Source organism: Homo sapiens, chromosome 2 (genome assembly GCF_000001405.40).
Source record: "Homo sapiens chromosome 2, GRCh38.p14 Primary Assembly".
Classification (NCBI taxonomy): Eukaryota; Metazoa; Chordata; class Mammalia; order Primates; family Hominidae; genus Homo; species Homo sapiens.
This window is the reverse complement of record NC_000002.12, coordinates 175,581,240-175,595,434: the sequence shown is the minus strand read 5'-3', so window position 1 is coordinate 175,595,434 and position 14,195 is coordinate 175,581,240. Positions and strand designations below refer to the sequence as shown.

Genomic DNA, 14,195 nt, shown 5'->3' with positions numbered 1-14,195 from the left:
CAGGCCAGAAGAAGGAGGAAAGGCAGAGGAAATAAAAAGAATGTCTCCCTTTAAGCACACAACTTTGTCTATACCTTATTGGCTGACACTGAATCACGTGGCCATACCCATGGCAAGGGAGGCTGGGAAACATAGTCTTTTATTATGGGTGGCACTGTGTAGAGATTAAAAAGTAATTACAATTCTTTTTTTTTTTTTTGAGACAGTCTTGCTTTGTCGCCCAGGCTGGAGTGCAGTTGTGCTATCTCGGCTCACTGCAACCTCTGCTGCCTGGGTTCAAACAATTCTCCTGCCTCAGCCTCCTGAGTAGCTGGGATTACAGGCGCCTGCCACCACACCTGGCTAATATTTTTGTATTTTTAGTAGAGATGGGCTTTCACCATCTTGGACAGGCTGGTCTTGAACTCCTGACCTCGTGATCCTTCCACCTCAGCCTCCCAAAGTGCTGGGATTACAGGCGTGAGCCACCGCACCCATCCCAGTAATTACAATTCTAAACAAGAAAGAGAGAATGGTTGAAGGAGAAGTCAATTGGCAACCACTTCTTCAGTGTATATCGCTCCATAATTTTTTTCATGCTCATACAAACATATTTGAATATATAGATATTCATTTGGTCATTCTGTTGTGGTTGTTTATTAAAATGGAATAATATTAAACATTTTTCTGTAACTTGCTCTTTCTCTCTTAATATATTATTGACATTCCTTCAGATCAATCTACAGAGATTATACGTATTCCTTTTAAGAGCTACATGTTATTTTATCATATGGGTTTATCATAATGTGTTTAACCAGTCCCCCATTGATATAATTTCAGATTTTTCACGTTTTGCTACCAAAAAAAGTCGAATTAAATACCTTATATCTTGGGAGCCAAGATGGCCGAATAGGAACAGCTCCGGTATACAGCTCCCAGCGTGAGCGACGCAGAAGACAGTGATTTCTGCATTTCCATCTGAGGTACCGGGTTCATCTCACTAGGGAGTGCCAGACAGTGGGCGCAGGTCAGTGGGAGCGCGCACCGTGCGCGAGACGAAGCAGGGCGAGGCATTGCCTCACTTGGGAAGCATAAGGGGTCAGGGAGTTCCCTTTCCGAGTCAAAAAAAGGGGTGATGGACGGCACCTGGAAAATCGGGTCACTCCCACCCGAATACTGCGCTTTTCCGACGGGCTTAAAAAACGGCGCACCACGAGATTACATCCCGCACCTGGCTCGGAGGGTCCCACACCCACAGAGTCTTCCTGATTGCTAGCACAGCAGTCTGAGATCAAACTGCAAGGCGGCAGCGAGGCTGGGGGAGGGGCGCCGGCCATTGCCCAGGCTTGATTAGGTAAACAAAGCAGCTGGGAAGCTCGAACTGGGTGGAGCCCACCACAGCTCAAGGAGGCCTGCCTGCCTCTGTAGGCTCCACCTCTGGGGGCAGGGCACAGACAAACAAAAAGACAGCAGTAACCTTTGCAGACTTAAATGTCCCTGTCTGACAGCTTTGAAGAGAGCAGTGGTTCTCCCAGCACACAGCTGGAGATCTGAGAACGGGCAGACTGTCTGCTCAAGTGGGTCCCTGACCCCTGACCCCTGACCCCCGAGCAGCCTAACTGGGAGGCACCCCCCAGCAGGGGCACACTGACACCTCACACGGCAGGGTATTCCAACAGACCTGCAGCTGAGGGTCCTTTCTGTTAGAAGGAAAACTAACAAACAGAAAGGACATCCACACCAAAAACCCATCTGTACATCACCATCATCAAAGACCAAAAGTAGATAAAACCACAAAGATGGGGAAAAAACAGAACAGAAAAACTAGAGCGCCTCTCCTCCTCCAAAGGAACACAGTTCCTCACCAGCAACGGAACAAAGCTGGATGGAGAATGACTGACGAGCTGAGAGAAGAAGGCTTCAGACGATCAAATTACTCTGAGCTACGGGAGGACATTCAAACCAAAGGCAAAGAAGTTGAAAACTTTGAAAAAAATTTAGAAGAATGTATAACTAGAATAACCAATACAGAGAAGTGCTTAAAGGAGCTGATGGAGCTGAAAACCAAGGCTCGAGAACTACGTGAAGAATGCAGAAGCGTCAGGAGCCCATGTGATCAACTGGAAGAAAGGGTATCAGCGATGGAAGATGAAATGAATGAAATGAAGCGAGAAGGGAAGTTTAGAGAAAAAAGAATAAAAAGAAATGAGCAAAGCCTCCAAGAAATATGGGACTATGTGAAAAGACCAAATCTACGTCTCATTGGTGTACCTGAAAGTGATGGGGAGAATGGAACCAAGCTGGAAAACACTCTGCAGGATATTATCCAGGAGAACTTCCCCAATCTAGCAAGGCAGGCCAACATTCAGATTCAGGAAATACAGAGAACGCCACAAAGATACTCCTCGAGAAGAGCAACTCCAAGACACATAATTGTCAGATTCACCAAAGTTGAAATGAAGGAAAAAATGTTAAGGGCAGCCAGAGAGAAAGGTCGGGTTACCCACAAAGGGAAGCCCATCAGACTAACAGCGGATCTCTCGGCAGAAACCCTACAAGCCAGAAGAGAGTGGGGGCCAATATTCAACATTCTTAAAGAAAAGAATTTTCAACCCAGAATTTCATATCCAGCCAAACTAAGCTTCATAAGTGAAGGAGAAATAAAATCCTTTACAGACAAGCAAATGCTGAGAGATTTTGTCACCACCAGGCCTGCCCTAAAAGAGCTCCTGAAGGAAGCGCTAAACATGGAAAGGAACAACCGGTACCAGCCGCTGCAAAATCATGCCAAAATGTAAAGACCATCAAGACTAGGACGAAACTGCATCAACTAACGAGCAAAATAACCAGCTAGCATCATAATGACAGGATCAAATTCATACATAACAATATTAACTTTAAATGTAAATGGACTAAATGCTCCAATTAAAAGACACAGACTGGCAAATTGGATAAAGAGTCAAGACCCATCAGTGTGCTGTATTCAGGAAACCCATCTCACGTGCAGAGACACACATATGCTCAAAATAAAAGGATGGAGGAAGATCTACCAAGCAAATGGAAAACAAAAAAAGGCAGGGGTTGCAATCCTAGTCTCTGATGAAACAGACGTTAAACCAACAAAGATAAAAAGAGACAAAGAAGCCCATTATATAATGGTAAAGGGATCAATTCAACAAGAAGAGCTAACTATCCTAAATATATATGCACCCAATACAGGAGCACCAAGATTCATAAAGCAAGTCCTGAGTGACCTACAAAGAGACTTAGACTCCCACACATTAATAATGGGAGACTTTAACACCCCACTGTCAACATTAGACAGATCAACAAGACAGAAAGTCAACAAGGATACCCAGGAATTGAACTCAGCTCTGCACCAAGCAGACCTAATAGACATCTACAGAACTCTCCACCCCAAATCAACAGAATATACATTGTTTTCAGCACTGCACCACACCTATTCCAAAACTGACCACATACATGGAAGTAAAGCTCTCCTCAGCAAATGTAAAAGAACAGAAATTATAACAAACTATCTCTCAGACCACAGTGCAATCAAACTAGAACTCAGGATTAAGAATCTCACTCAAAACCGCTCAACTACATGGAAACTGAACAACCTGCTCCTGAATGACTACTGGGTACATAACAAAATGAAGGCAGAAATAAAGATGTTCTTTGAAACCAACGAGAACAAAGACACAACATACCAGAATCTCTGGGATGCATTCAAAGCAGTGTGTAGAGGGAAATTTATAGCACTAAATGCCCACAAGAGAAAGCAGGAAAGATCCAAAGTTGACACCCTAACATCACAATTAGAAGAACTAGAAAAGCAAGAGCAAACACATTCAAAAGCTAGCAGAAGGCAAGAAATAACTAAAATCAGAGCAGAAGTGAAGGAAATAGAGACACAAAAAACCCTTCAAAAAATTAATGAATCCAGGAGCTGGTTTTTTGAAAGGATCAACAAAATTGATAGACTGCTAGCAAGACTAATAAAGAAAAAAAGAGAGAAGAATCAAATAGAAGCAATAAAAAATGATAAAGGGGATATCACCACCAATCCCACAGAAATACAAACTACCATCAGAGAATACTAGAAACACCTCTACGCAAATAAACTAGAAAATCTAGAAGAAATGGATAAATTCCTCAACACAGACACTCTCCCAAGACTAAACCAGGAAGAAGTTGAATCTCTGAATAGACCAATAACAGGATCTGAAATTGTGGCAATAATCAATAGCTTACCAACCAAAAAGAGTCCAGGACCAGATGGATTCACAGCCGAATTCTACCAGAGGTACAAGGAGGAACTGGTACCATTCCTTCTGAAACTATTCCAATCAATAGAAAAAGAGGGAATCCTCCCTAACTCTTTTTATGAGGCCAGCATCATTCTGATACCAAAGCCAGGCAGAGACACAACAAAAAAAGAGAATTTTAGACCAATATCCTTGATGAACATTGATGCAAAAATCCTCAATAAAATACTGGCAAAACGAATCCAGCAGCACATCAAAAAGCTTATTCACCATGATCAAGTGGGCTTCATCCCTGGGATGCAAGGCTGGTTCAATATACGCAAATCAATAAATGTAATCCAGCATATAAACAGAGCCAAAGACAAAAACCACATGATTATCTCAATAGATGCAGAAAAAGCCTTTGACAAAATTCAACAACCCTTCATGCTAAAAACTCTCAATAAATTAGGTATTGATGGGACGTATTTCAAAATAATAAGAGCTATCTCTGACAAACCCACAGCCAATATCATACTGAATGGGCAAAAACTGGAAGCATTCCCTTTGAAAACTGGCACAAGACAGGGATGCCCTCTCTCACCACTCCTATTCAACATAGTGTTGGAAGTTCTGGCCAGGGCAATTAGGCAGGAGAAGGAAATAAAGGGTATTCAATTAGGAAAAGAGGAAGTCAAATTGTCCCTGTTTGCAGATGACATGATTGTATATCTAGAAAACCCCATTGTCTCAGCCCAAAATCTCCTTAAGCTGATAAGCAACTTCAGCAAAGTCTCAGGATACAAAATCAATGTACAAAAATCACAAGCGTTCTTATACACCAACAACAGACAAACAGAGAGCCAAATCATGAGTCAACTCCCATTCACAATTGCTTCAAAGGAATAAAATACCTAGGAATCCAACTTACAAGGGATGTGAAGGGCCTCTTCAAGGAGAACTACAAACCACTGCTCAAGGAAATAAAAGAGGATACAAACAAATGGAAGAACATTCCATGCTCATGGGTAGGAAGAATCAATATCGTGAAAATGGCCATACTGCCCAAGGTAATTTACAGATTCAGTGCCATCCCCATCAAGCTACCAATGACTTTCTTCACAGAATTGGAAAAAACTACTTTAAAGTTCATATGGAACCAAAAAAGAGCCCGCATCGCCAAGGCAATCCTAAGCCAAAAGAACAAAGCTGGAGGCATCACACTACCTGACTTCAAACTATACTACAAGGCTACAGTAACCAAAACAGCATGGTACTGGTACCAAAACAGAGATATAGATCAATGGAACAGAACAGAGCCCTCAGAAATAACGCCGCATATCTACAACTATCTGATCTTTGACAAACCTGAGAAAAACAAGCAATGGGGAAAGGATTCCCTATTTAATAAATGGTGCTGGGAAAACTGGCTAGCCATATGTAGAAAGCTGAAAGTGGATCCCTTCCTTACACCTTATACAAAAATCAATTCAAGATGGATTAAAGACTTAAACTTTAGACCTAAAACCATAAAAACCCTAGAAGAAAACCTAGGCATTACCATTCAGGACATAGGCATGGGCAAGGCCTTCATGTCTAAAACACCAAAAGCAATGGCAACAAAAGCCAAAATTGACAAATGGGATCTAATTAAACTAAAGAGCTTCTGCATAGCAAAAGAAACTACCATCAGAGTGAACAGGCAACCTACAAAATGGGAGAAAATTTTCGCAACCTACTCTTCTGACAAAGGGCTAATATCCAGAATCTACAATGAACTCAAACAAATTTACAAGAAAAAAACAAACAACCCCATCAAAAAGTGGGCGAAGGACATGAACAGACACTTCTCAAAAGAAGACTTTTATGCAGCCAAAAAACACATGTAAAAATGTTCATCATCACTGGCCATCAGAGAAATGCAAATCAAAACCACAATGAGATACCATCTCACACCAGTTAGAATGGCAATCATTAAAAAGTCAGGAAACAACAGGTGCTGGAGAGGATGTGGAGAAATAGGAACACTTTTACACTGTTGGTGGGACTGTAAACTAGTTCAACCATTGTGGAAGTCAGTGTGGCGATTCCTCAGGGATCTAGAACTGGAAATACCATTTGACCCAGCCATCCCATTACTGGGTATATACCCAAAGGACTATAAATCATGCTGCTATAAAGACATATGCACACGTATGTTTATTGCGGCATTATTCACAATAGCAAAGACTTGGAACCAACCCAAATGTCCAACAATGATAGACTGGATTAAGAAAATGTGGCACATATACACCATGGAATACTATGCAGCCATAAAAAATGATGAGTTCATCTCCTTTGTAGGGACATGGATGAAACTGGAAATCATCATTCTCAGTAAACTATCGCAAGAACAAAAAACCAAACACCGCATATTCTCACTCATAGGTGGGAATTGAACAATGAGATCACATGGACACAGGAAGGGGAATATCACACTCTGGGGACTGTTGTGGGGTGGGGGGAGGGGGGAGGGATAGCATTGGGAGATATACCTAATGCTAGATGACGAGTTAGTGGGTGCAGCGCACCAGCATGGCACATGTATACATATGTAACTAACCTGCACAATGTGCACATGTACCCTAGAACTTAAAGTATAATAAAAAATTTAAAAAAAGAAAGCAAAGAAAAAAAAAAAAAGATTGCCACCTTTGCAGCACTATTCACAATAGCAAAGACTTGGAACCAACCCAAGTGTCCAACAATCATAGACTGAATTAAGAAAATGTGGCACATATACACCATGGAATACTATGCAGCCATAAAAAAGGATGAGTTCATGTCCTTTGTAGGGACATGGATGAAGCTTGAAACCATCATTCTCAGCAAACTGTCATAAGGACAAAAAACCAAACACCACATGTTCTCACTCACAGGTGGGAATTGAACAATGAGAACACATGGACACAGGAAGGGGAACATCACACACCGGAGACTGTTGTGGGATGGGGGGAGGGGGGAGGGATAGCATTGGGAGTTATACCTAATGCTAAATGACCAGTTGATGGGTGCAGCACACCAACATGGCACATGTATACATATGTAACAAACCTGCACAATGTGCACATGTACCCTAAAACTTAAAGTATAATAATAATAAAAATAAATAAATAAATGAATAAAAATTATTTAGAAAAAAAAATACCTCATATCTTGAACCATTTTTTTACATTTAAAAAATTATGAATGCCATAATACATACAAGCTATATAATGCATATGACCAGTTTATAAAATGACAAATGCATGCATATTCACCACTCACCTAAAAAAAAATAGAACATTATCTTTAAAGTCCCCATACACTATTCACACATAGGACACCCTTCCTCCAAAGGTAACCATTGTCCTGAATTTTACTATTCCTTTGCTTTCTGTTACAATTTGACTACATATAAATATATTCTTAAAAATACTGTTTGATGTTGCTTGTTTTTGAACAAATATATCAATGAAGTCATATTGTATATATGCTTCTGCGACTTGTTCTTTTTGTTATATATTATTTTGTGATATTTATCCATGCTGAATGCAACTATAGTTTACTAATTTTCACTCATGTACAGTAGTAGCCCATTGTGTGACTATACCACAATTTATTTATCTTTTCCCCGTTGATGGACATTTGTTTACATTTTATTGCTAACATAAAAAATGCTATTTTATGCATTCTTGTTTGTTCTTATTTTCATGTGCATACAGGCAAGAATTTCTGTCGGTTTTATATGCAGAAATATAGTTGCTAAATGATAGGGTATGTGCCAATTTTTTCCCAAGTACTTATCCCAAATTACACTACCACTAGCAGTGTGTAAGAGCTCCTGTTATACATCTTTGTCCAAAGTGCATAAGAGTTCCTGTTGTTACACATCTTCATCAAAAGTTAGTAGTGTCAGACTTTAACTTTTTGTTAGGCTAGATATAAGATTGGAGGGCTTTTAAAAAGTGTTTTAGCCCTGGAGATGTTGATTGAGTAGGTCTGATTTGGTCATCTTATGGAGGATTCTAGGAATCTGTGTTTTAATAAATCCCAGGTTGATTCTGATGCTCAGCCAGGTCTGAAACCACAAGACTAGACTGACTTGCGAGACCCTTTATAGTGTGACTATTTTCAGACTCTCTCATTGCCCACACTGATGCCATCATCTTGGTCTGGGGATTTTTTTTCTGCAGAGTTCTTTGCATTTCCATTCCTCCTTCTTTTCCACTTCTCCAGCTAATATGCAAGCCCTGAATCAGGTCCTTATTACGTTATGCAAAGATTAGAAATAATATAGAAGGTGATTACTTACACAGACTCTGGAGTAAGCCTGGATTCAAAAACTTGCTCTGCCACTTGCTTACAGTGTAACCTTCAGCAAGTTACCTTCCCTGAGTCTCTTTTTTTTAGCTGTAAAATGAGAATGATAACCAGAGTACCTATCATACAGGAAATTTGAAGATTAAAAGAGTTAATATATATAAAGATCTTAAAAAATTTCCTGGACAAGGCAAGCACTCAATAAATATCATCTATTACTATTATTGTTGTTATTGCTGCTGCTGCTGCTGCTGCTCTTATTACTTCAACTGCCTCCTGGAGCGGTATATTAGTCTGTTCTTATGCTGCTAATAAAGACATACCCGAGACTGGGTAATTTATAAAGGAAAGAGGTTTAATTGACTCGCATTTCCACATGGCTGGGGAGGCCTCACAATCATGGCAGAAGGCAAATGAGGAGCAAAGTCACGTCTTACATGGCAGCAGGCAAGAGAGCTTGTGTAGGGGAACTCCCCTTTATAAAACCATCAGATCTTGTGAGATTTATTTACTATCACGAGAACAGCATGGGAAAGACCCACTTCCGTGATTCAATTGACCTCCCACTAGGTGCCTCCCATGACACATGGGAATTATGGGAGCTACAATGCAAGATGAAATTTGGGTGGGGACACAGCCAAACCATATCAAGGGGTGTGGGAAATTTGAAAGAAAAAGGGCCTCATTGACAAGCTCTCTTCCACTTCAATTTTCCTTACACTGGGACTACTAAAATAATCTTCTACCAGCCCCATTGTATCATATTTTTGACTCTCAAGAATGAGCAATGGTCCCTCTCACATACCTTGGAGAAATAACCTATCAAATGGTTACGGAAACATCAGTGGTATGACGCGTTTGCTTCATTTGAAGAAAGTTTTTCCTTTTTCTTCCCATTCAACTGTAGCTTGTCTTTGACAATAGTTAAGAAATGTGTTATGATAATTGTATTAGTCAAGATTCTGTCTGGTTCAGCTGCTTTAACAGAGACCAAATAACACCATTTTAAACATTGTAGAAGTTTATTTTTGTCTCACTTCAAACTGAGCCTCTAGGCAGCCTGGGAGGTGGAGTGGTTGCCTTTCAGAAGTCAGAGCCCTGGTGCCATCCATCCTGTGGCCGCACCACAATATGACTCTACAGTAAGAGTCAGCAATTTTTTTCCCTGTAGTGCCAGATAGTAAATATCTTAGGCTCTTGTGGGCCATATGGTCTCTGTTGCAACCACTCATCTCTGCTGTTGGAGTACAAAGGCAGCTATGGGCAATATGTAAATGAATGAGTATGGCTGTGTTCCAATAAAACTTTATTTATGGACACTGCAATTAGAATGTTGTATAATTTTCATGGGTCACAAACTATTCATCTTTTTATTTTTAAACCATTTACCTATACAGAAACCAGTCTTGGCTTGTAGGCCATGTAAAAACAGACAGTGGGCTCGATTTGGCCCAAAGATCATAGTTTATTGATCTCTTTTTCAGGCAATTGCTCTGATTAGCAAGGTCAAAGATAGTTCATCACTACTCTACCCACTTGTCAGGCCCAGTGAAATGAGGAATGAGGAAGCAAATGTCAATCATCTTCCTTTAAATAGAAAGACTCAGACTTTCTCTGCATTACTTCAGCTAACATTGCTTTGATCAATACACAGTCATGTGGCCATACCTAGTTGCAAGGGAATATAGGAAATATAGTGTCTAGCTATATATATATATAGAGAAATATAGCCTATAGCTATGGGCTGCCCTGTGCTGAGCTGAAACTTGATGTGTTCTATTACTAGAAAGGGAGAAAGGAGAGTACAGATATTGAGGGGCAATACGCAATCCCTGTCATAGCACAGGGCAACAGAATTGGTATAATGACAGAAAGATTATCTCCTAGAGTTGGGGCCTCTTGAGGTTTGTCTTCCTGTCATTGCCAAAAATGGGATCTATGATGTTCAGTGACTATAAAATAAATCTCCATGAGACAGATATGATAGTTGTAGGACCGGAGGGGAAAAGGTTGCCAGTCATTCAACTGGCAACTGCCACTACAAAATATAGTCAGTGTTGTCAAGGCACTCAGTGGAGAATGGCCATTTACCACCAAAAGCAAGTGTCAAAAATAACTTCAGAAGCAAGGGTCTTTTTGCCCTTGGTTTTTATTCTCCACTTAGATCTTTTACATAAGACAATTTTTGATATTTGGTAAACCTTAATATAATGTCACATTACCTATCTAGATCATAATATTGAGGCTGGTTACTTCACTTCCAGCCCCACATTTTCAGCTCATGATGGAAGAAGAGTCAAGGGTGAAGTGCGGGAAGTGGATGTCCAATAAGCTTGTTCTAATCAGGAAAGTAAGAGCTTTCCAGATAGACCCAGCCTCTAAACTTTATATCTGACAAGAAGTAAAGTAGTGGGCTTTTTTGTTTTTAGGTAGGCAGATTGCTGCCTTTAAAAAAACCTACTTAAGGGGAAAAATAAATTAAATACTGGATGAAAAACTAGCTGTATCGTCCATGTCCAATTCAATTGTTGAGTTTGGAACAGATTTCCAGAGCACCTACTATGTGCAGGGCCCTGCCCTGAGCCCTAGGAAGGCACAAATTAATAATATAAAATATTTTCTCTTGAGGAGTTCATAGTCTAGAAGGGAAGACAGATTAGCATACATATAACTACCATTAGTACAATAATAAAGTGTGTATAAAGGACAGAAAGGGTTCAGAGCTGAGAGTGATCAACCCTTTCTTCCAGTGGGTGAGAAAGGAGGTCAGAGAAACTTTAGCAGAAACACTGAAAGGGGAATAGCATCACCTTTTTCCTGAAAAAATAGAATCTGTTTGTGTACACAGCAGCATCTCATCCTGCATGCATTGGAATATGAGAATGTGAGAACGGTCATATACAATGGGTGGGAGTGTATGTGCACACACATGCATACGTATGTGTGTGCACACTTTAGCACCCAGGAACCATACCACTCCCCTCTACGAGTCTGAATATTACTGCCTGCAGTGGATGTTATGTGCAATTACCTTGCTGCAAACACTTCTCCCAATCATAAGGACCATTTTCACAAGAATTACCTTGTCAAAAAATACAATTTGTATATAAAAATATGCTTGAAAGATATATGCCCATTCTCTTATTTGGTGCTCACCTGATAAGAAGTAAAATTAAATGCATTTTTTAGAAGGTAGGGGAATATATACCAAAAAGTTCTCTTCTGATTTCTCAAATGAAAATGGGATGGATATTGCTATATGGCAATATTTATTTTTTTGTTTAATCTGAACACTACCTGGGTTTGCATATTGGGCTTAGTAGACCCCAAAAAGCATTAAAAGCCAGAAGTAGAAGACTTGGAGAACATGTAAACACTGAGAGATGACAGGTTTTTGAGGCAGTTAGAAGCTGGGGAATAGATAATTACATCATTGTCTCTCATTCTGTTCCCATATGGACTTGCTTAAATGTCATTTCAGACTGTAAGTTCTCACTCTTTCCTTCCTGGGAAACCTTATTCAACCTGTGCTCAGACACCGTGATAGCTGCACCTTGGCCCAGAGTGCAGCCCCATGGGGAATTCATATTCAGGCATCACCGATTGTTGACCTGCCTATTGTTTGTGATACTTACTGGTAAAGTTTTTCAATCAATACAACATCAGCACAAGGAGCTCCTGGGAATGGAAGCCTGCAGCAGTGTACTTAATCTTGAAGCCAGCTTGTGCTCTCTGCTCTGCTGCTAAACTGGGTAGTTGGCCTATTTGATGTGGCATTATTGCTGCTGAGGTCAGATGTGAGCGGTTCGGCAAGTGCTGATGAATGGCTGCTGGTGATGAAGTGCCTCTTCCGCCCAACAAGAGACATTTAATAATGATGGGCCATAACTGTACTCGCACAAAAATCCGTGTCGCTTGTGAGTCTTCTGGGTTGGAGGTATAGAAGGATTGGCATTATTCTAGAAAGAAGTTTGAAAGTGGTGGTTTTTGGTTTAAACATGGAAAAGGCAGGAGAGAAGCAGTAAATAAAGTTTACTTTATTTACAAAGCAGTATCTCTTTTTCCTTCTCAGACAAGGCCACTGTTCTTTGCAAACCATGTCTTCACATTGTCCTTCATCTTTCTTCCCACGCTTTGCTTTAATGTGACTTCAAGGCAGCATGGGAAAAATGAATGGGAAATTATGATTAACTTTATTAAAATGGATCATTAATAATGTCTTCATCATTGAGGGAGTAACTACTCAGAATGTTAAGTATGGATTTAGCAGGATAACACCCACTCATATGAAGGAGAAATTAATATCTAAATAATTATTGAACATGGCACTAAGAACTCATTCACCATTGTCTGAAATATAACACTTCAAAGCCTGAATAATTCCAAAAATGGTTGTCCTGCAAGAAGTTTCAGTGCATTATTTATGTAGCTATTTCCTGTTCAGTACAATCCTTTTTTTAGTAATCAGACGAAGAAAAAATAAAAATGCTTGGCATGACCTAAATATTCTGTCTGTTATAAATGAAGGCAGTTTCTCTGTAAATAAATAGACCATAGAATATTGTCAAGAAAATAGTCAAAAGTGTAAATGTTGGGTTCAGACAGACTCTACACAGAATCAAAGGGCCTTATTAAATATTTGATTACATAACAATTATCTAACAAATAAGAAAGTATGATTGGATTTTCAGAGGTATTGTTAGTTTACCAAGACTTTGGCCTGTGTATTTAGGGCTGTGAATAGTTGCATTCTTTGAGCAGAGCCCCTAGTTCATTCCTCTCTCTATCCCAGGACCTAACACATTGCCTGATGCTAAGAAGGACCTCTGTAAATACGTATATAATGAATGGAATGAAGTAGAAAATGAAGTAAAGTGGAGGATGGTTTGGGGACATACCTTCTGGCAGTAAGACAAAAGATGCCTTTCCAATTCTGCAAGGTTCTAGTGTTCGATCTTCCCAGTGTGGAGGATTAGGCTATGCAGTACTGTACTAATGATCTTAAACTACTGATGTCCAGTCTGAATGCTGCAAGATAATTTTTTCTAACATTTAAGATGTAAAGTTCAACTCATTTTTTGGTTGTATATGTTTGCATGGCAACCAACCCTCACAAGTGTGCAAAGAAAATTCCGCTTTTCCATTTTCCATGACTGATGGAAACTTCTTTGTGCACTCCAAACCTGCTGTGTAGCCAGGGCAAGGTGAATGTGGGGGACACCTAATTAAGTGCAAATTGTTAAATTTAGTCTCAACCGACAATGTCAATAGATGATTTAGGTATGGCCGACTTTGATTTTCTACTCTCCTGTGCCTTTCCAGTACAGCTCTGGGGATGTCTGGAGGGGAAGATTGACACAAACTTTTGGGGCTGGGCAAAAGGGTCCTGGGATGACAGGTGCCTGCCTTTGTACTGTCCTCTAGTTTCTGAGAAATGGGTATCTCGTGTCCTCCAAGCCCCTAGGGGCATCTGATATTGACTTGTATGGCTGGTCATGGCTTGTGGCCTGTGCTCCTGGCTCCATCTGTGTCTGGTGAGTTGGCTCTGCCTTGGTTCTTGCAGATCTGTCCATGCCCCCTGAAGTCTGGCTCTGGGTCCCATTTATTCCCAGCCCAGGCAGCCTG

General features: G+C 40.3%; 2 annotated features.

Annotated features, from left to right (window-relative positions):
• Positions 583-1,340: an enhancer, noted in NCBI's record as "NANOG-H3K27ac-H3K4me1 hESC enhancer chr2:176458823-176459580 (GRCh37/hg19 assembly coordinates)". NCBI's record gives its function as "activates a minimal SCP1, AML or CMV promoter by ChIP-STARR-seq in naive H9 embryonic stem cells {active_cell/tissue: H9 hESC(naive)}" and the evidence as "EXISTENCE:reporter gene assay evidence [ECO:0000049][PMID:30033119]".
• Positions 1,341-2,100: an enhancer, noted in NCBI's record as "NANOG-H3K27ac-H3K4me1 hESC enhancer chr2:176458063-176458822 (GRCh37/hg19 assembly coordinates)". NCBI's record gives its function as "activates a minimal SCP1, AML or CMV promoter by ChIP-STARR-seq in naive H9 embryonic stem cells {active_cell/tissue: H9 hESC(naive)}" and the evidence as "EXISTENCE:reporter gene assay evidence [ECO:0000049][PMID:30033119]".